Source organism: Homo sapiens, chromosome 2 (assembly GCF_000001405.40).
Source record: "Homo sapiens chromosome 2, GRCh38.p14 Primary Assembly".
Taxonomy (NCBI): Eukaryota; Metazoa; Chordata; class Mammalia; order Primates; family Hominidae; genus Homo; species Homo sapiens.
In genome coordinates this window covers 94,192,531-94,215,224 of record NC_000002.12, presented here as the reverse complement: position 1 = coordinate 94,215,224, position 22,694 = coordinate 94,192,531, and the positions used below count along the sequence as shown (strand labels likewise).

Below are 22,694 nucleotides of genomic sequence, written 5' to 3'. Positions count from 1 at the left end.
CTAGGGCACAAGCGGGGCAGGCTAGGGCAGGGCAATGGCAAGACCAGGCCATGGCAGGGCCAGCCCAGGATAGAACAGGGCACAGGCAGGGCAGGGGCAGGGCCAGGGCCACGGCTGGGGCAGGACAAGGACCAGGACTGGGGTCCAGGCCAGGGCAAGGGTATGGCCAGGGCAGAGGTAGGGCCAGAGCCAGGGTCTGAGCAGGACCAAGGCAGTCTATTGCAGGGCCAGGGTTCAGACCAGGGCCAGAGCAGGGCTGGGACAGGGCCAGGGCCAGAACCAGGAAAGGGCAATGTCAGGACAAGGGCCATGGCAGGACCAGCAACGGGGCTAGGACCAGGACAGGGACAGGGACAGGGTCAGGGCTAGGGCCAGAATAGCATGCCAGGGTAGAGCCAGGCCAAATTAGGGCCAGGACAGGGTCAGGACCAGGGCTGGGCCAGGGTATGGCCTTAAGTAGTGAAGGGCCAGGGCCAGGGCCAGGGCCCATGCCAGTGCCAGCGCCGGTCCAGGGCAGACGCAGGGCCATGGCCAGGTCTAGGACAAGGCTGGGGCAGGGCCAAGGTCTGGGTCAGGGTCAGCACAAGACCAGGACAGAGCCAGGGGAGGGACAGGGCCATGGTAGGGCCAGGTTAAATCAGGGACAAGACACCTGCAAATCCACTTCAGGGCCAGGGTCAGGGCAGGGCCAGTTCAGGGCCAGGGCCAAGACAGGGCCAGGGTCAGGGCTGCCAGGGTCATTGGCAGGGCCAGGGCCATGGCAGGACCGGGGTCAGGAGCAGGGGTCAATGCCAGGCCAAGGCCACAGATAGGACCAGGTCTGTGCTAGGGCCAGTGTGAGGGCCAAGGTGGGGTCAGGGCAGGGCCAAAGGGAGGGCAGGGCCAGGGCAGGGTGGAGCAGGCCCAGGGTAGCACAGGGTTAAGGTAGGGCACGACCAACCAGGGCAGGTCTATGGCTGGGGCCGGGGCAGGGCCAGAGCCAGGGCACGGCCAAGACAGTGGCAGCTCCAGGACAGGGCCAGGGTTAGGACCACAGACATGTCCAAGGCCAGTGCCAGGGCAAGGGCAAGGGCAGGGGCAGGGCCAGGGTCATCTAAGAATTAGGGACAAAGCCAGGCCCAGAGCTGGGCCAGGACCGGTACCTGGCAGGGCTAGGGTCTGAGACAGGGCCACGGCAGGGCCAGGGCCACAACCAGGTCTGTGCTATGGCCAGGTCCAACACAGTGCCCAGGTAAGGCTAGGGTGAAGGCCAAGGTAGGGCCAGGGCAGGGTCAAAGCCAGGCTAGGGCCAAGGCAGGGCCAGGGCCGGCAAGGCAGGGCCAGGAAAGCATAGGGCCAGGGCAGGGCAGGGCCAGGCCAGTGCCAAGACCTGGGCAGGGCCAGGGCCAGGGCCATAGAAACGGCCTGGGCAGGACCAGGGTTGGGGCAGGAGCAAAACAAGGGCAAGGACAGTACAGGTTCTTGGCACAGCCAGGGTCCAGGACAGTGTCAGGGCAGGGCCAAGGCAGGGTCTGGGCCACGGTAAGACCAGCAACAGGGCTGGGGCTGGGTCAGTGACAGGACCAGAGTCAGGGCAAGGGCCAGAGCAGTGCAAGGCCAGGGTAGGGCCAGGCATTTCAGGGTCAGGGCCATGGGAGAACCAGGGCAAGGTCTCAAGCAGGGAAGGGCCAGGGCCAGGACAGGTCCAGGGCAGGGCCACGACAGGACCAGGGGCTGCATTAGGGCAAGGGCAGGGCCAGAGCAAGGTAAGGGTCAGGGCCAAGGCTAGGGTACGGACAGGGCAAGAAATATGGCAGGACCAGGGGCAATGCCAAGGCCAAGGCTGAGTCAGGGCTGAGTCAGGGCAGGGCAGGGCAGGGCATGGTATGGCCAGTGCAGGACAGGACAAGAGCCGGTCCACAGAGAGAGCAGGGCTGATGCCAAGAAAGAGCCAGGCTAGTGCCAAGGCTGAGGCAGTGTCAGAGCATGTCCAGGGCAGGGCCGGGGCCGGGGCCAGAACTGAGCCAGGGCACAGCCAAGGCAGGGTAGGGCAGGGAAATAGCATGGCCGGGTCAGTACTGGGACAGGGCAGAGCAGGGCAAGGCGATGGTAGGGGCAGGGCAGAGACAGGCCAATGCAGAGCCATGTTACACAGGGGCCAGGACAGCTCCAAGTCCACTTCAGGGCCAAGGCTATGGCAGGACAAAGACCAGGGCCAGGGTCAGAGCCAGGTCTGTGCTGGGCCTAGCGAAGACTAGGGTGAGGGCCAAGGTAAGGCCAGGGCAGGGTCAAAGGCAGAGTAGGGCCAGGGCAGGGTGATGACACACCCGGAGCACAGCAGGGCAGGGTGATGGCAAGACCAGGGGCAGACCACTGCCAGCTCAGGGCCAGGGAAAGGCCAGTGCAGAGCCAGGAAAGGGTCTGGGTCTGGGTCAGGGCCAGGAACAAGGCAGAGCAGGGCCAGGGCCATGGCAGAGTCAGGGCAGGTCCTTGACAGGACCAGGTTCCAGGCCAGGGCCAGGGCAGCAGCAGGGGCAGGGCCTGGATAAGGGCAGGGCCAGGGATATGGCAGGACCAGGGCTAGGGCCAGGGCCAGGCCATAGTGAGGGCAGGGCAAAAGCCAAGGCAGGGTCAGGGCAGGTCCAGGGCAGGTCCAGGGAGCGGCCAGCACCAAGCGGGGCCAAGGCACAACCAGCGCAAGGTAAAGCAGGGCAATGGCACCACTGGGCCATGACAGGGCAAAGTCGTGCCAGGAGAGGGCAGAACAGGCAGGCCCATGGTGGGGCCAGGGCAGGGATGGGCCAAAGCAGGGCCAGGACATTTACAAGGCCAGGTCAGGGCCAGAACAGGAGCAGGACCATGACCATTGGCAGGGCCAGTGCCATGACAGGACCAGGGTCAGGACAAGGGGCAGGGCCAGAGCCAGGGCCAGAGCCAAGGTCAGGCCAGTGCAGGATCGGGGCAGGGCCAGTGCCAGGGCAAGACCAGGGCAGGGACAGGGTAGCACGGGGCCAAGACAGGGACAGGATGGGACCAGAGCAGGACAGGGCCGAGAGTCCAGGTAACAGTAGGGCAGGTACAGGGCAAGGCAGGGCAGTACAGGGCCAGATCCACGGCAGGCACAGGGCAAAGCCAGGCCCATTGCCAATGCACCAGCCCTCCCTACAAGGCTCCTACCACCTGGCCACTGCTGCAGCCCGTCCATCGCTGTAAGCCTGACTCCCAACCCTGCCTGCAGCCGCCTGCCCTCCTAGCACGGCCGCTCTCCTACCGTTCTGGTGCACTGCAGTCTCCGTCACTGCCACCCACCCGCAGCGAGGCGAGCCGTGGTGTTGCACGCTCTAGGTGTCTCCTCCTCCTCCTGGCACGGAGCAGCTGGGTGGGCAAAGCCAGAAAAGCCTAGAGGAAGTTGTGAGGAGTGGAAGCGTTAGAGCCTCAACTTGTCATGCTGGCCACTGGGTGGCAGGGGCCAGTTTCAGCAAAGGCACTCACACCCACCCTCCAAAGTCCAGCCTCTCCTTTTGGCCCAAGCTGGCCGGGAACTGGGGTCTGGGGTGGGTGCTGGAGACACCACAGCACCCAGCTCCCCACTCCACAGGAACCATTGGGCCCACCGGGGCTGCACTCCTCGGGGAACAGGAGAAGCAGACAAATTCAGACCCAGCCAGCCCTCCGCACCCAGGTGCCAATTCCTGTTCCGGACGCCTCCACACACAGGGCCCAGTCCCCCGTGGTGTCCCCAGGGGTGCCTGGCAGCCTCTGAGGCACAGACCCAGAGTGCACAGGCCCAGGAACCACGGTGGGTGTGGGGGCTCTGCCATGCTCAGGATTCCCATGCAAACGCTGCATGCCCTGCCGCACTCCAGTATGACCAAGAGTGGTTCGCCCTCTGGAGTGTGGAGTCAGGGAGAGGAGAACCACTCCTTCCTTGGATGCCAACTCTGTTGACTGCTGCCAGCAGTGCAGCCCCTGATAGCACCGAACTCGCCCCCGCTCCACGGCTAGTCCTGCCCTCAATAGCGCCCCTCACCTCCGTCCCCCAATGCCGCCAGTAGCGTATACCCGATATGCCCTAACCTGTCCTCCTCCATGGGCGTTGCAGCCCCAGAAAGCACCCATAACCCACCCTCCCTGCCGTGGGCAGTGCAGCCCTGTGCAGTGCTACCAACCAGTACCCCTAATGCAGGCAATGACACCCTGGATAGCGCCCCCAACCCACCCCACACTGTGAAAGGTGCAGCCCTGGATAGCCCCTGTCCTACCACTCTGGTCATGCTGCAGTCTCTGTCACCGCCACCACCAACTACAGTGAGGCAAGCCAGTGGGCCGCAGGCTCTAGCTCCCAGCAGCCAGGCATGGAGCAGCTCTCGCTGATGGCCGGCTCCTACCACTCTGACCACGCTGCTGTCTGTCTCCGTGGCCATCTTCTTTCACTGCAAAGGAATAAAACTAGGTATCAATAAGAAAAGTAATTTTGGAAACAATACAATCACATGGAAGTTAAACACTACCCTCCTGAATAAATGACTAGCTGGTCAATGAAGATACTAAGACAGAAATTCAAAAATTTCATGAAACAAAGGGTAATGAAAACACAGTATACCAAAACTTGTTACGCAGAAAGCAGTACAAAGGCAGAGATTTACAGCTATAAGTGCCTACTATCCAAACAAAAGAAAAACTTCAAATAAACAATACATCTTAAAGAACTAGTAAAGTAAGAACAAACTAAACCGAAAATAAGAAAACAAATAAGATCGTAGCAGAAACAAAATTGAAATAAAAAACACACAAGATTAAACGAAAAGTTGGTTTTCTGGAAAGCTAAACAAAATTGACAAACTTTTAACCAGCCTAAGAAAAGAGACAAGATTCAAATAAATAAAATCAACAGATTAAAAAAAGGAGACATTACAACTAATACTTCAGAAATTCAATGGATCATAACTGGCTATCATATGCCAATAAATTGGAAAGCCTAGCAGAAATTGGCAAATTCCTAGATGCATACAACCTACTTAGGTTAAACAATGAAAACATCCAAGACCAGAACAGATTGGTAACAAGTAATGAGATTGAAGCCATCAGAAAAAGTCTCCCAGTAAAGAAAAGCCCAGGAACTGATGTCTTCACTGCTGATGGCTTCACACCAAACAATTTAAAGACCTAGTACGAATCCTGCTCAAACTATTTTGAAAAACAGGAGGGAATACTTCCAAACTTATTCTATGAGACCATTATTACTGTGATACGAAAATCAGATAAAAGCATCAAAGAAGAAAACTACAGGCCAGGATCTCTAATATTGATGCAAAAATCCTCAACAAAATACCAGTGAATCAAATTCAGTAATACATTAAAAAGATAATTCATCATGATCAAGTGGGATGTATCCTTGGAATGCAAGAGTCACTCAACATATAATGTGATACATCATATCAACCAAATAAACGACAAAAACTGTATGATCATGTCAACTGAAACCGAAAAAGCATTTGATGAAATTCAACATCCCTTCATGCTATAAATCCTCAAAGAAACGGGCACAGAAGAAACATACCGCAACATAATAAAAACTACAGGAAAGACACCCACAGCTAGAATCATACGGAATGCGGAAAAATAGAAAGCTTTTCCTCTAAGATCTGGAACATGATAAGGATGCCCCCTGTCACCACTGTTGTTTAACATAGTACCAGAAATCCTAGCTAAAGCAATCAGTGCAGCCCCTGATATGGCCCCCAACCCACCCTGCCCCCTACCACCAGCAGTGTCGCCCCCCCCAATAGCACACCCAACATACCCTAACTGCCCCGCCTCCCCGCACCATGGGCATTACAGCACCCCATAGCGCCCTCAACCCCAAACCGCCACCCCCCCCACAGCCGCACAGTGCAGCCCCAGATAGCACACTTAACCCACCTCACTGTTGCCAGCAATACAGTCTGGGATAGTGCCCCCAACCGGCTCCCCGCCAAAGGCAGTGTAGCCCCGGTTTGAGCCCCCAAACCGCCCCCCCGCTGCAGGCAGCACAGCCTCAGATAGCACACCCAACCAGTCACCCAAGACGGGCAGTGACGCCTGAGATAGGGCTCCCAACCCGTCCCAGGCCACCAGCAGTGCAGCCTGGATAGCGCACTTACCCCGATGCCTTTTTCTACACTCTGGCTGGCTGCAGTGTCCATCGCTGCCACCAACCACAAACATGGCTGCAAACAGGAAGGATTTTATTCACCGTCGATGCGGCCCCGAGTTGTCCCAAAGCGAGGCAGTGCCCCAAGGTCTGTGCAGAGCAGAACGCAGCTCCGCCCTCGCAATGCTCTCCGGGTCTGTGCCGAGGAGAACGCAGCTCCGCCCTTGCAAAAGCACACAGCGCTGGTGCCGGCGTGGCGGAGAGGCGGACAGCGGCGGAGAGGCGGCCAGCGTTGGCGCGGCGGAGAGGCGGCCAGCGGCGGCGCGGCGGAGAGGCGGCCAGCGGCGGCGCGGCGGAGAGGCGGCCAGCGGCGGAGAGGCGGCCAGCGTTGGCGCGGCGGAGAGGCGGCCAGCGGCGGCGCGGCGGAGAGGCGGACAGCGGCGGAGAGGCGGATAGCGGCGGCGCAGCGGAGAGTCGGTCAGCGGCGGCGCGGCGGAGAGGCCGACAGCGGCGGCGCGGTGGAGAGGCGGACAGCGGCGGCGCGGCGGAGAGGCGGACAGCGGCGGCGCGGCGGAGAGGCGGACAGCGGCGGAGAGGCGGATAGCGGCGGCGCAGCGGAGAGTCGGTCAGCGGCGGCGCGGCGGAGAGGCCGACAGCGGCGGCGCGGTGGAGAGGCGGACAGCGGCGGAGAGGCGCACAGCGGCGGAGAGGCGCACAGCGGCGGCGCAGGCGCGGAGAGGCGCACAGCGCAGGCGCTGGCGCGGAGAGGCGCAGGCCCAGGTCCACTCCCCAGCTGTGAAAGGGTAAGAGCTGAGGGTGGCTGAGACTCGGGGTTGTTCAGGGCGGGGTGGGCTCTGGACCCAGGAGGCCTGGCACCCAGGTCAGGGCTCCAGGGGAGGCCAGATGGGCGAAGGCCAAGAAGGGGCCGGGGCTGGTCAGGAAGGGCTCCTGGTGACCAGAGCACTTTGCGTGAGCCAGCGTGGGAGGAAGGTGGGCTGGATGAGCCAGGGAGGTGCCAGGAGGGGCCTTGGCAGAGGCGACCACCTCCGTCAGCCCCCAGGCCACTGAACCCTGGGTAGCGAGAACCGACAGGGGAGGCTGCAGACAGAGGAGTGGAGGCTCCCCTGCTTTGGGGGCTCTGAGTAGAAGCATCTAGGGGGTCCCTCAAGAGGCCCCCAAACGCTTCCCCCGGTGAGAAAAGAAGGCGCAGAGAGGGGCACGGCGCCGGCGCCGGCTCAGGCTCAGAGGGGCGCACAGCAAGATTTGCTGTGATTTCTTTTATTGCCCCAAGCGTACCTCACCTTGGTAGATTTCTATTGGCTTTAAAAATGTGTGTGTTTTGCTGTTGGGGAGTGGGGTGTTATACGGATGTCAAATTTTGCTGGTTGACTGTTCAGATCTTTTGTAAATCCTTGCTCCTTTTCTGCCTAGTTTCACTCTGTCACTTACACTGGAGTGCGGTGGCACGAACATGACTCACTGCAGCCTTGACTTCCTAGGGTCAAGTACTTCCCCTGGCTTAACCTCCTGAGTAGCTGGTACTATAGGTGTGTGCCGGCACACCTGGCTAAATTTAAAATTTTTTGGAGAGATGAGGCCTTGCTATATTGCCCAGGCTCGAACTCCTGGCCTCAAGCTATCCTTTGTCTTTGCCTCCCAGAGTTCTGGGATTACAGGCATGAGCCACTGTGCCCGGCCTCTGCCTAGTTTTAACAGTTGCTAAGAGGAGGATGTTGAAGTAGATGTCTTCTTGGTGGGTTAATCCTTTTGTCATTAAGCAGTTGTTATGGTCACTTCCTTTTCACCCCATTGGTGAAGGAGGGGTCCCTGCCCTAAAGTGTAGGAGATGGCTGAACACGACACCTGGCGTGGATGGATGAGATTGACAGCAGTGTTTTAGTCACATATACCCACAGCTCAGAGGAGGACACTGCATGCCACACAGGGTCAGATGGGCACCGCACTCTGTAGCGGAGTGAGGGCTGGGGGCTGAGGAAGCAGGCAGGCTTGGTAGTAACAAGAGCACACGATGACCAATGGTTCCCGAGGGGGAGAGCAATTGGCTTGTTTGAATAAATTCATGGGCTGGCAGACAGGTGAAGTGAAACTTCTTAGGCTGAGGTGCAACTGTTCTGGCTGATAAAAGAACTAGCCAGGTGGGGAGCCTTTCCTGTTGGGTGGCGGGGTAGGGGGTGTCTGGTAAAAACAGGAAAACCCACAGCTAGGCCTTTGGGGCCCTGTGAGGCTCAAAGATGTCAAGGCAGCATAGGAAATTTTAGATCTTAAAATTCAGCGAAGACCCTCTCCAGCTCTGGTAAATTATTTTGCTTGAAGTCTACTTCATGAGATATTAATATATTCACTCCTGCTTCCTTAAAAAATTAATGATTTCACAGGATAACTTTCTCCATTCTTTTACTTTCAACCTACTTAGGTCCTTAAGTGAGTTTGAAGTTTCTTATGAACAGTATTTAGTTGGACCATGTGTTTATTATAGGCTCTCCATCAATCTGTCTTTTGGTTTATTTAGACCATTTACATTTAAGGTGCTTATTGTTACATAATTGCTTATGTCTGATGTTTTTATTATTTGCTTGTTTCCTTTTTCTTTCCCTCCATCTTGATCTATTTCTGTATAATGTTGTTGCGTGTATCTGTTTGTATAGTCTTAAAGTGTTTGCTCTGGATGTTACAATATGTGTATTGTAATATAGTAGTCTACTGGTACCAGTATTTACCACTTCAAAGTGTGGAAACCTGCCTTGGATTTATGTCTCTTTACCTTTTCCACTTGTATAAATCACTGGCTTGAGTAGTACGTGGTGGTATAGTTTTTGTTTCAGTCGTCAAATGTGATTTTAAGAACTGTGGATTGTCTCGTGTATGTATCCACATTTCTGGTCTTTCCTTTGTCCCTCCTCCCATAGTCCCATATTCATCCCTTCTGCATAAGAACTTTCTGTAGCCATTTTTTATTTTGATTTTTTGTTTTAATTTTTTGTATTGTGGAAATGACAGAACATATTTCTGTAGCCACTTTTTAGCATTTCTAAATTGACCAGTGACAAATTCCTATATTCTCTTCCTCTGAGAATGTCTATATTTCTCTCTTCATTTCTGAAGGGTAGTTTCATGGAATATAGAATTTGCAGCCAACAGTTTTTTTGTTTGGTTGGTTTTTTTAAGCACTTGAAAATGTTGTGCCACTTCCTTCTGGCCTCCATGGCATTTGAGTTGGCGTGTCCCTACAGGCATTCTGCCATTTTTGCTCTTTGTTTTTAGTTTTGAAAGTTTAATCAGTGTTGCTTTCTTTTGGTATACTTTGAGGTTTGCTCAGCTTCTTGAATCTGTAAGTTTATATCTTTCACCAAATGTGGGAAGCCTCAAGAATTAGTTATTTGCATGCTTTCGCAGCTCTGGTCTCCTGTGGGACTCAGATAACATAAATGTGGGGTCTTTTGTTATCGTCCCACAGGTCCGTGCAGCTCTGTTCATTTGTTTTCAGGTTATTTTCTCTCTATTGTTTAGACTGGGTGAATTCTGTTGATCAGGTTTCAGCTTCTCTGATTCTCTCCTCTGTCGTCTCCACTTTTACTCAATAGAGCCCATCCAGTTAGATTTTTTTAAAATTTCTGTTACTGTATTTTATATTTCTGTAATTTCCATTTGATTCTTCTTCAGTTTCTTTGCTGACGTTTTCAGTTCTTTGATTGTTGACATAGGATTTGTAGTTGCTTGTTGAGCATTTTTATACTGACTGTTATAAGTGATGAGTCAGGTGGTTCCAACATCTGCCTATGTAATTTTTTTATTTTTGCAGGCAGTCCTCCTGTTTAGGTTTAGTCTGTAGGTCTTGGTCTACTTTGTGGGCTGTGATTCCAATGGCAATTTAATTTCAGAGCCTTCATGGTGTTATTTTGGTCTGTTTGGCTAATATGTGTCACTGGGATTCTCCCACCAGTCCCTGCTGTTGCCCACCTGAGGGAACAGGGGAGCTGCCCCAGGCTGGGCCACCTGCTGCAGCTAGGTGGGTGGGGAGTGGTGGTTGTGTTGGTGTGTGGAGCTGGTTTTCTTGTTGTGGGGAAGATCTCCTTTGATCTGCGGGGACTGAGTCTGCCTGGGTTGCCTTCTATTGCTACGTTGGGAGTTGGGAAACTCTGGGCCTGGGTCACCGTCCTATTGGATGAGGTCCAGGGAGACACCTGGCCACTATGCATTCCCTAGTCCTAGAGTCCCTCAGCAGCCTTTTTCTGTCCACCTTTCGGAATTCTCCATTGATCATCTCCTGTCTATTATTTCTAGAGGAGGGTATAATGTGTTATCTTCTCTAGACCAGAAATCCTTAGTGGTGGTTTCGGGTTGTAACTGTGCTAAAGGGAGAATTGGCGTATTTGTGATGTCGAGTCTTCCTTTTCAAATGAGGACATACCATTATTCAGTATATAATATTTACAACATCTACTTCCTTGGGTTGAAGAATGTGGTTAAGGCAATGAAAGTACTTAACACAGTGCCTGGTGTGGAGAGCACTTACGAGTGTTGGTAGTGATGCTATTCCTTTTGTCCTTTGGTAGCATATTAAAGCTTTTCTTCTTTTTTAAATAAATAAAGTTCTGGTGCACTTCTTGTTAGGTTTATTCCTATTTTATCCTTTTTTGCTTTTATTACAAATAGGAGCTTCCTATCTTTTATAACATCTACCTGGTTCTTTGGCCCTTATGTGAAAATGTTTTAATAGCCTTCTAAACATTGCTCTCCCAAATGAGTTTTAACTTGCCTCTTTCTTTTGTTTTCCTTTTTTTGAGACAGGGTCTCACTTTGTCACCCAGGCTGGAGTTCAGTGATGCAATTATGGCTCACTGCAACCTCTGCCTCCCGGGCCCCCAAAGTGCTGGGTTTACAGGTGTGAGCCACTGCACCCAGCCTTACTTGTCTATTTCTTTTAAGAGTGGGAACTATAACTGAACCCAGAGCTCCAAAAACAAATGAAGGAATGAATGAGTGAATAAGCTCTTCCCATGGGTTTGGTGTGGTTTGGGGCTCTACTCTTAATCTAAATGCTATGTTTTATATGATCTAAAATTTCCCCTAGGTGTGTTACACGATCGTGTTGTGTTGAACTTACATTGAGACTCCTTTTCACATGTGCTGGTTATCAGCATGGGACTTTTCCATTCACTCTTTGAATTATTCATTTGGGGGACACAGATAGACCTCTGTGTCTTTCATAAAAAGTGTCCATTGGCCGGTTGCAGTGTCTCATGCCTGTAATCCCAGCACTTTGGGAGGCTGAGGAGGGCAGATCACGAGGTCAGGAGTTCAAGACCAGCCTGGCCAATATGGTGAAATCCCATCTCTACTAAAAATATAAAAATTAGCCAGGCCTGGTGGCGGGTGCCTATAATCCCAGCTACTCGGGAGACTGAGGCAGTAGAATTGCTTGAACCTGGGAGGCAGAGGTTGCAGTGAGCTGAGATCGTGCCACTGCACTCCAGCTTGAGTGACAGAGTGAGACTCCGTCTCCAAAAAAAAAAAAAAAAACAAAAACGAAAGAGTGTCCATTATCTATACTGGAAAAATTGAGATTGGGATTTTTGACATGAAGTGCGGAAATGTGGATTGGGTCAATTTAGTTTACCTAAACAGATGATGAAATACTGTTTTACGAAGCATTCCCTAGTGCAAAGTTTTGCCTGTGTGTCTAGTGACGGGAACAGTAAGAATGAGGCTTGGAACGCGGAGCGCATTGTGGGCCTGTCGTGGGTGGCGCCAGCAGCACATGCATGCCTGGCTCACAGAGCAGCCTTTGGGTGTTCTTTTCCCAGAGGAGCTCTACGGTGACTTTGAAGACTTGGAAACAGGGGACATGCACAAGGGAAAATCGGGCCCCGACACTCAGGTATGACTTTGTCGTAGCTGGCTGTTCTTGGTCATTGTGTTCTGAGAGAGGCCCACATTGAGAAATGCAAATCTTACTTGTGATGTGTGAAGATTGCAGACTGGATGGATAGATTCCTTCCTAAAGGGTGGGGATGTGGGGACCAAAGAGAAGCTTTCTTGTTTACTTGTTAAGTTTTGGACGACAGTTACTACTGTTTCTTGCCATAGTCATTTGCCAAGACTACTGTGATTTTTCACTCACAGAAGTCTTAGCTTCTCAGACTTACATTCAACCATTGCCATCATTCTCCTCTTTTTAAATTTAAGTGTCATTTAAAAGAATGAAGTTCCTGTTCTCCCTAATATTTCTTTAGAACAGGGTCTGGGAGCATCTGGGTGAGGGACATGTCTGTTATTTTTATTCTAGTTTGTGTTCCCAGCCAGCTTAAGGAATAGCAGCTAATTGTAATGCAGATGTAACAATTTCCTGTAGCAGTACCATGTTATTCAGAGACAAAGATTATGTTGTGTTTTGTTTTGTTTTATTGATAACGATAACAGATTTTTGCTAAGATTTTTGTTTAAATAGAACTTTAAAAAATGTAATGTTTAAAGAAAAGACCTTCATAAACATACACAAAATTTTTTCTTCTGGAAATTTAAGAATGAAGATATAGAGAAACAAGGAAGAAATTGACCCCGACGAAGAAGAAAGTGCCAAGAAAAAGCATTTGGATAAGAAGAGAAAATTGAAGGAGATGTTTGATGCGGAATATGATGAAGGAGAAAGCACATATTTTGATGATCTTAAAGGAGAAATGCAGAAAGAAGCACAGGTGAGAAACCTCAGTTCCTCTCAGCCCCTTGTCAAGACTATCACATAGTGCAGGAATCCCTGACTGTCTTTGGGTCCCTGCTTCCTATCCTGCTTCTGTGCCTTTCATTTGGACTCCTGGGTAGATGCATGTGAGTATGTTTATTCATGCAGTGAGCTCATTGTTTCTACAGTCAGAAGATCACCAGAAAAAGATCCATACCTATTTTGTAACAAGAATTAGGAAACCGAAATGACTGAGACATGGTCTCTACTTTTGAGACTTTTACAATGTAGTGATCTGAGACAGTGTGTTCATTTCAGTGCAAGCCAATGCTGCCTATTCCGATCGCTGCTCCCTGATTTGAATGGCAGGTGATCAGTGGCCCGTGTGGCTTATGGACACACCAGAGCTCCCAGGGGAAGTGCTCTGAAAACTCATCCTGGTCAGAGTTCAGAAGGACACGTGGAGTATAAGGTCAGATGCGGAGATAAAGGGAGATGGTGTGGCCCTCCTGCCTGGGGTTGCTGAGCAGGTTGCTGGAGACAGTGATGTCACTCTGAAGGAGACAGACACAGAAACGTGTGTACAGTTGATGGTGAGCATCTGAGTTGCGTCTTGTTAGTGAGGCCAGGAGTGCCTGTGTAAGCTGGAACAGATTAGGTATATGATTTGTGAAACGGAGTTTCATCCTAGATCTTCATCTAGTCAAAGGACTGTTTCCTGATTAGGCATTAGCTTAGTGGTTGCTAGTCTGTGTTGACCTTTGAAAGGCATGACTAGGCTAACTCTGAAGTTTTTGCTTCACACCATTTACAATTTAAAATTACCTAGAGCCTTGTGGGCCATTGGAAAAGACTGAATGTTTCACTCTGAAATGGGAGTCCTTGGAGGGTTTTGAGCAGAGGAGAGACATTCTGGTAATCAGATCACTCTGCCAAGACATCAGTCTGGTAGAGATCAGTCCGGTGGCACAAACCAGAGGGCTGGCAGTGGAGATGAGACAAAGAGTCAAACGCGGATAGAGTTTATTTGGAAGCTGGGTCAGTAGGATTTCCTGGTGGACTGAATGTGGGGTGTGTGAGAGGAAATGAGGATGGCGACTGGAAGTTCCTGGAAGGATGGGTTGTTGCAGGTTAGATAGGAAACTGTCTGCAGATGCAGTTTTGGGAAGATGATGTTTGGTTCGGCTGGGTATCATGCAGACAAGCGGAGTGTCAAGTCTGGAGAGACAGGTCTGGCCAGGGACTTAGATGTACAGCCCTCAGCATGTAGATGCCACTTAACTCTGTGAGGTGGCCGGGGAGTGAGTGCAGAGTGACTGGGAGGAGGAAGACTGGCATGGGCGAGATGGGGCGATTGCGGCCGTGAGGCCTGAGCAGTGCCTAGGAGGGAGAGGGAGAAGCAGTGTGAGCATGCAGGCACGCAGGAGTCCAGTTGTACACGGAGGCGAAGCACTGTTCAGATCCCGCTGCAGTGTTAACTACGGTAAAGGCAGAGTTGACCACTGGAGGAGTCCTTCAGCGTGGAGGCCTTCAGCGATCTTGGCAAACACCAATTTTCATGGATGTAGGAGAATGGGAGCAGAGGAACTGGAGGCTGCAACTGTGGAAAACTTTTGTGGGGTTTTGCTGCAGAGAGAAGCAGAGAAATGAAGCAGTTTTTGGTGGAAGAAGTGGAATCAAAAGGTTTTGAGGTAAGAGAGAGAACAGAGGGAAGAGCTGTTGGAATGAAGTCCAGGAAGAGTGGATGGTGTCTAGTGTGCAAGTGATGTGTGGCCCTGAGTAGAGGCATGGACAAATCATCTGTGCCTGAGCTGCCCGTAGAACTTTCTGTGATCATGGAGATGCACGTCTGTGCTTCCCAATATTGTAACACTGGCCGCAAGTTGATATGGACCACTTCCAGTGTGACTAGTGTGATTGAGGAACTGCATTTTAAATATTATGTAATTGTAATTAATTTTAATTTAAATAGCCACACATAGCTCCTCTATGGGCCAGGTCAGAGCTCTGATAAGGCTGGATATGGGAGGAAACCCTGGTAGAGGGTTGACCTTAGAGGTTCTTTTGGTTTTGGAGTGAATCAGGAAACAGCCATCAGCTGAGTGAAGGTGAGGGTGGTGGTGGGTGTTTGAAGACAAGGGAAAAGTGTGAAAGAATTATTTGGAGAGGAAGGAAAGAAAGTGTGGACTGGGGATGTTTCCAATGTTCGAGCACGCAGGGCTCCACAGTTATCTACATTTGCTGTCCCTTGGAGCAGGAGAGAAGAAAATGGTTGGGACATATTCTGAACAGACTGTAGAGGTAAAATGTGTAGGTTTTTTTTGTTTTTTTGTTTTTTGAGATGGAATCTCGCTCTATTGCCCAGGCTGGAGTGCAGTGGCACGATCTTGACTCACTGCAACCTCCGTCTCCCAGGTTCAAGCGATTCTCTCACCTCTGCCTCCTGAGTAGTTGGGACTACAGGCACGCACCACCATGCCCAGCTGATTTTGGTATTTTTAGTAGAGACAGGGTTTCACCATGTTGGCGAGGCTGGTTTCAAACTCCTGACCTCATGTGATCTGCCCGCCTCGGCCTCCCAAAGTGCTGGGATTACAGGCATGAGCCACTGTACCCGGCCAAATGTGTAGTATTTTTAATAGGATAAAGCCTACATAATTCTGTCCACAGTTCCTTTACTTAGAAATTGCTTATTTGTTCATGTTAATCCTATGTTTATTACAAATAACAGCATACAGGTTTCTCCCCCCTCCCCCCACCCCGTCATGTACAGCTGAATCACGTAGAATTTGAAGATCAAGATGATGAAGCCAGAGTTCAGTATGATGGTTTTCGACCTGGGATGTACGTCCGCGTTGAGATTGAAAATGTTCCCTGTGAATTTGTGCAGAACTTTGACCCCCATTACCCCATTATCCTGGGTGGCTTGGGCAACAGCGAGGGAAATGTTGGACACGTGCAGGTGGGTCCCTTTGCTGCATATTTGGTGCCTGAGGCTCTGTGGATTTCCCCTCCATCAGTCATCTTACCCTCTCATCCCCCTCAGATGCGTCTGAAGAAACATCGCTGGTATAAGAAAATCCTCAAGTCCCAAGATCCAATCATATTTTCTGTAGGGTGGAGGAGGTTTCAGACCATCCTGCTCTATTATATTGAAGACCACAATGGAAGACAAAGGCTTCTAAAGTATACCCCACAGCACATGCATTGTGGAGCAGCCTTTTGGGGTAAAATATGATTACAATAACTTGCCTATTGCCGAGATTAAACTTTACAGGCTGCGTTATTTTAGCTTTGTGCTTTTCCTTTCATAAAATTCCACTCCTAAGATGTTTCTGTTTTCTGGGAGCGGGGAGGTGGTTTGGAGTATATATGTAAATCTATATCCAAATCTAAATGTCCGTATCCAGTATGTTAAACTAGAATCTAAAATTTCTGGTTTGCTATATTTCTTTTTTTCCTTTTCCTTTAAGACCCTATCACTCCACAGGGAACTGGTTTCTTGGCAATACAGTCTGTCAGTGGCATAATGGTAACTATCTTGGACAATTTCTTTTACAGATTGGTTTGAGAAATATATCCTGAATGTGGGTTATTATGTACATGAGACTTTAAGTTGAAAATTACTCATTTTTATTATTATAAAGTAAATTTCCCTTTGCTTTTAATCTTTGTACATCCTTTTCAGTAGGGTGTGGGATTAGAGGAGGGGAGGTGGAAGAATTATAATGGTACATTTCCTATTTTTGTGCATCTTTTGCATTTATTTATCTAAGCAAGTATTTAAGCAGTGCTCACCGTGTGCTAAGCACTATATGAGGTTATGAGGAGCCATCAGAGACCACCCAGACACAAGACTCCCTGCAGCTGTGCTGGGGTAGCAGTCTGTTCACTCCATTTTCATTTGACCAGTCAGGCAGGGCAGGGTTTACTGGTCCCATTTAACAGAGAAGAAAGCAGAATAATGAGCAGATGGAATCTTCCCTGGAGGTCCAAATTTTAATTTTCTAAACATTGCAACTGTATTTTTCTTTTCCATTTCGTTCCAAATAAATCATTATAGTAAAATTACATTCCTCTGAAATCACTCTCAGGAAAGTACTCAAGTAGCCTTTTTTTTTCTTTTTTCTTTTTCTTTTCTTTTTTTTTTTTTTTTTTTTTTTGAGACAGAGTCGCACTCCGTCATCCAGGCTGGAGTGCAGTGGCACGATCTTGGCTCGCTGCAACCTCTGCCTCCTGGGTTTAAGTGGTTCTCCTGCCTCGGCCTCCCGAGTAGCTGGGATTACAGGTGTGCACCATCATGCCGAGCTAATTTTTGTATTTTTAGTAGAGATGGAATTTTGCCATGTTGGCCAGACTGGTTTCAAACTTCTGACCTCAGGTGATCCACCTGCCTTGGCCTCCCAAAGTGCTGGGATTACAGGTATGAGCCACTGTGCCTGGCCTCAAGTCACCCTTGTTAGTTTGGCTTACCAACTTTAAAGTTTTGGATTGCTTTTGTCAAACCACTGGGTTGCAAGTTCAGATGGTCTCTCTTGTTTTTCTTAGCTAATTGTAAGTAAAGTTCACTTTGGTAATTTATTGTGTTACATAGAATTGAAGTTTTTCTCTTGCTAATATTATTCCTATTTTCAAATTTTGGGGCTCCTGTTAGCCTGATTTTCGGATAGCTGCCACAGGAGTTGTCCTTGATCTGGATAAATCCATAAAAATTGTGAAGAAATTAAAGCTAACTGGTTTTCCATATAAAATTTTCAAGAACACTTCATTTATTAAGGTCTGTATATCTATATATTCTCATATTTATAAATGTCCATATTGTTTGAGAAAAGGAATGAAATACCTCTAAAATGTGGGCCTCATATTTTTAGAAAAGTGTTTGAAATCTTTTATAAACTTCATATTTTGTTTGCTCCTTTATATTCTGTATTACTTAAATATGCTCAAAAAAGCAGTGGTAAACAGCTATTTAGGAATTGAGGCTGTTACTCCTGACTTCCATGTGAGACTGCCACGGAACTCATATTGAAAATATGTCATTTTATCCACTAGGTTTTGTTTCCTACTTTTTAAATTGGTGTTAAGAAAGGGAAAAAAATCACAAGTTTGTCTAACTCAGTAGAAAAACCGACAAAGCATTTGCAGACAACTTGGCAAGGGTACAGAGAAACGGATGTACTGTTTTACAGTATTTGGGGAGGGTGGTTTGAGCAGCATTTATTGACAATTTCATTAGTGGGGATGTTTCTATTGAAAACACAGAGTTAGGAAGTCATAAAATGTTCTTGCAATATAAGGTAATAATACCACCGGCGTTTATCTTATGTTTTCATGTTCTAAGTGCATGCATCTGAGTAAAAGGATCTGGGCTGCAGTCCAGTCTGAGAGATGCCAGCAAAGGCTTCCTAGGCCAATTCAGTCCAGTAAATCCCTCTTCAATCTTCTCTCCCACACAGACAGCAGTGATGAGCATGCCCGTGAACTCACATGATTATTTTGGGGAAAATGAAAGAGTTGTATTCTTTTTGAGGTAGTAATTCCACTTTCAGGGGCAAATACATTTTGATTATTTTATCACCCTTCAGTGAGTTGTTTTTGTTCTTTAATCAAGGATGTATGTTTGAAGTAAGAAGTAAAGCATAAAGTATACGATTTTGTGTGTGTGTGTGTGTTTATCTTGCTATACCTGTAGGGAATGTTTAATTCTGCCTTGGAAGTGGCCAAATTTGAAGATGCTGTGATTCGAACTGTCAGTGGGATAAGGGGGCAGATCAAGAGAGCACTCTGAGCTCCAGAAGGAGCTTTCCAGGCTAGCTTTGAGGATAAGCTGTGGATGAGCGGTGAGTGTCTTAAGTAGTGTTCAGGGCAGGGCGTTACCATTCATGCTTGACTTCTAGCCAGTGTGACGAGAGGCTGGAGTCAGGTCTCCAGAGAGTTGAGCAGCTCCAGCCTTAGATCTCCCAGTCTTATGCGGTGTGCCCATTCGCCTGGTGTCTGCAGCCCCCTGGCCACACCCAGTAACAGTTCTGTGATCTATGAGAATAGTTTCCTTAGCGAGCTTTCCCTTCAAATACTTTGCAGCCAGGTAGAGAAGTTTGGAGTGAAGGTTTTGTTCTTTGTTTCTTTGCAGTATGGATATGAATCTTCTTTTGAAAATGTTAAAGTAAATTACCTCTTTTCAGATATTGTCTTCATGCGAACTTGGTATCCTGTTTCCATCCCAGCCTTCTATAACCCAGTAACATCTTTGTTGAAACCAGTGGGTGAGAAAGACACCTGGTCAGGAATGTGGACCACGGGCCACCTCGGGCTCGCCCATGGTGTCAGACTAAAGACAAACAAGGACTCTCTGTATAAGGTACTGGTCGTGTGTGTGTTAGTGGAGATGAAGCCTGTGCCCTACAGACAGGGAGTCACGCAGACACTTTTCTATAATTTCTTACGTACTTTGAATGTTCAAGTATAAAGTCTAATGTTAAATTTGATTGAACAATTGTATATTTGTGGGATATTTTGGAATGGAACACCAAAAAATGGTAATAGTGGTTCTTTCTGGATTGAAGACAAACTTTTCTTTTTTAAAATAAATTTTATTTTATATATTTGAGGTTGACAACATGATCTTAAAGGATAAATATAGATAGTAAACTGGTTACTATAGTGAAGCAAATTAACATAGCTACCATCTCACATAGTTAGATTTTTGTTTGTGTGACAGGAACAGCTAAAATCTACTTATTTAACAAAAATCCCAAAGACAATATATTTTTATTAACTATAGCCCTCATGATGTACACTAGATCTCTAACTTGTTCATCCTACATGTCTGCTACTTTGTATTATTTTAATGTACATCTCCCCATTTCCTACTGGTCATTTCCTATTTGGCCCATTTTTCAACTGGGTTGTTTTTCTGCTATTAAGTTGTAAGAGTTCTTTACTGATTTTTGGATATTAACACTTTATCAGATATGTGGTTTGCAAATATTTCTTCCAGTCTATAGGTTCCCCTTTCATTTTGTTGGTTGTTCCTTTGCTGTGCAGAAGCTTTTTAGTTTGATGCAGTCCTCCTTGTTTATGTTTACATTTGTAGCCTGGCTTGTGGTGCGATATCCAAAAAATTATTGCTAAGGCCAATGTCAAGAGGCTTTCCCCCTATGTTTTCTTCTAGGAGTTTTATGGTTTCAGGTCTTATTTGGGTCTTTGGTCTTGTATCTGTTTTGAGTTGATTTTTGTGTATGGTGTATGATCAGGGTCGAATTTTATTCTTTTGCATGTGAAAATCCTATTATTGAAGAAACTATCTTTTTTACCATTGTGTTGTCTTGTTTGCCCTTGTCAAAAATTAGTTGACAGTATATGTTTGGATTTATTTCAAAGGTCTCTGTTCTGTTCCATTGGTCTATTTTTTTGTTTTTATGCCAGCACCATACTGTTTTGATTACTATAGCTTTGTAATACAATTTTAAATCAAGAGGTGTGATGCCTCCAACTTTTTCTTTCACAGTTATCTGTTGGCTGTTTGGGGTTTTTTGCGGTTCCATATGAGTTTCAGGATTGTTTTTTCTTTTCTTTTATTTATTTATTTTTTTTTTTGAGGTGAAGTCTCACTCTGTCACCCAAGCTGGAGTGCAGTGGCATAATCTCGGCTCACTAAAACCTCTGCCTCCTGGATTCAAGCAATTCTTCTGCCTCAGCCTCCCAGGTAGCTGGGACTACAGGCACATGCCACTATGCCTGGCCAATTTTTGTAGTTTTAGTAGAGACAGGGTTTCACTATGTTGGCCGGGCTGGTCTCCAACTCCTGACCTCGTGATCCGCCCACTGCGGTCTCCCAAAGTGCTGGAATTACAGGCGTGAGCCACTGTGCCTGGCCAGGATTGTTTTATTCTGTTCTGTGAAGAATGTCATCAGAACTTTGATGAGGATTGTGTTAAATCTGTATATTTGCTTTGGGTAGTGTGAACATTTTAACAATATTAATTCTTCTGATCCATAAACATAGGATGTCTTTTCATTTGTTCATGTCTAAATTTCTTTCATCAATGTTTTATGGTTTTTAAGTGTACACATCTCTCACCTTCTTGGTTAAATTTATTCCTAAGTTTTTGTTTTTCTTTGATGCTATAGTAAATGAGATTATTTTCTTCATTGCTTCGTCAGCTAGGTTATTTGTATACAGAAATGCAACTGATTTTTATATGTTGAGTTTATACCTTGCAGCTTAACTGAATTGATTTAGTAGTTCTCACAGTTTTTTGTGGAATCTTTGGAGTTTTTTACGTAAAGGATCTTGTCATCTGCAAATAGAGATAATTTTACTTCTTTAATTTAGTTGCCTTTTTTTCTCATCTGATTGCTCTTGCAAGCACTCTATTGAATAAAAGTGATGAGGCTGGCCATCCCTATCTTGTACTCAATCTTAGTGGAAAAGCTTTAGTTGTTCCCCACTAACTATGATTAGACTGTGGGTTTTTCATAAATGGTCTTTATTATGTTGAGGAACTTTCCTTCTATACATAAACTATTAAGAGGTTTTATCAAGAAAGGTTGCTAAACTTTGTTAAATGCTTTTACTGAATCAATTGAGGTGACCATGTCATTTTATCTTTCATTTTGTTAATGTGATATATCACATTGATTGATTTACATATTTTAAACCAGCCTTGCATGCCAGGGATAAATCCCACTTAAACACGATGTATAATGTTTTTGATGTGTTGTTGAATTCTATTTGCTAAAATTTTTTTAGGATGTTTGCATCAGTATTTAATTTATTGGAGAAGTTGACCTGTAGTTTTTGTTTGGTGTGTGTGTGTGTGTGTGTGTGTGTGTGTGTGTGTGTGTGTGTGTGTTTTGGTTTGGCTTAGGTATTAAGGTGATACTGGCCTGGTAAAATGTGTTTGGAATTATTTCCTCTCACTCTGTTTTTGCGAAGAGTTTAAGAAGTAAACTCCCAGGGGATGGGAGTGGCTCTGGACATGGGAGTGACATGATAGTGACTCTGGACCCTGCAGTGGTGGGACACAGCAGCATCTCAGTCTCTGTAAGGCCAGGCGCAGCATCAGCAAGGACCCCAGAATGGTGGAGCACTACTGTGGCTTGGGCCCTTGGGGGCAGGGACCAGTGCAGCAACTACTTCTCTCCCTGGGGAGGCAGGTGCCTGGGCAACTCAGATTCTCTAGGGCTAGTCCAGTTCCAAGGAAGCAGGGTTCTACAGTTGTTTGTCCTGAAGGGCAAGGTACCCCAGTTCAGCCAATGCTGTTTTCCTGGGATATGGGGGTGCCATGTTGGCTCATCCCTGGCAGGTGTGGCTGCTCAGCTCAGCCAAGTCACTGATTCCCTGTGAAGCAGGGCAGTGCTTCAGCTCTCGTGCAGTGGGGGATGTGACTGCTCAGACTGGCCAAGGCACTGACTCCCTGGAAAGCAGGGCACCAAGTCAGCTCAGGCTCCAAGGGGCAGGGCGCAATGGCAGCTGGGAGGGGAGGGGCACAGCAGCGTGGCCCCGCAGGTGGGGTGTATGCTGTGATGTGGACATCATTTGTTCCCACCAGCCATTTGAAATTTCATCCATTTGAGATTTGATTCCAAATGTGGTGGTGTGGGAGGTGGGGCCTAGTGGGAGTTATTTGGGTCACAGGGCAGATCCTTTATGAATAGATTAATGCCTTTTCATGGGACTGGATTAGTTACCAGGAGTGGATTGTTATCAGAGTGAGTTCAGCTTCCTAGACTCTCGTGTTTCCTCTCTTGCCATGTGAGCCCCTTGCATACACCTGTTTCGCCTTCCACTTTCCCCATGAGATGAAGCAGCATAAGACCCTCGCCAGTTGTGCTGCCCGATCTCGGACTTTTCAGACACAAGCAGGGTGAGCCAAATAA

At 48.1% G+C, this 22,694-nt stretch overlaps 1 protein-coding gene and 1 pseudogene across 7 annotated transcripts in view; one reads left to right on the top strand and one right to left on the bottom strand.

Annotated features, from left to right (window-relative positions):
* The window catches only part of LOC107985915 (MAGE-like protein 2), a 24,996-nt gene extending 17,732 nt beyond the window's left edge, over positions 1-7,264 (bottom strand). Inside the window, exons 1-4 of the mRNA XM_047446873.1 lie at positions 7,157-7,264; positions 6,123-6,922; positions 4,242-4,412; positions 3,251-3,378 (exon numbers count right to left, since the gene is read on the bottom strand). Of these exons, the coding sequence (XP_047302829.1) occupies positions 6,137-6,922; positions 7,157-7,264 (894 nt within the window). The 3' untranslated portion in view covers positions 3,251-3,378; positions 4,242-4,412; positions 6,123-6,136. The remainder of the gene's footprint in view (positions 1-3,250; positions 3,379-4,241; positions 4,413-6,122; positions 6,923-7,156) is intronic.
* On the top strand, positions 6,806-22,694 carry BMS1P23 (BMS1 pseudogene 23; annotated as a pseudogene). Of its 6 annotated transcripts, NR_146106.1 has the most exons (10): positions 6,806-6,915; positions 11,938-12,011; positions 12,657-12,828; positions 14,445-14,503; positions 15,586-15,774; positions 15,859-16,039; positions 16,286-16,344; positions 17,467-17,589; positions 18,505-18,652; positions 18,995-22,694. The product of NR_146106.1 is annotated as a BMS1 pseudogene 23, transcript variant 2 (transcript). The 6 variants fall into 6 exon arrangements; NR_146105.1 differs by lacking the exons at positions 14,445-14,503; positions 18,505-18,652 and adding an exon at positions 13,182-13,405; NR_146107.1 differs by lacking the exons at positions 11,938-12,011; positions 14,445-14,503; positions 18,505-18,652 and adding an exon at positions 13,182-13,405.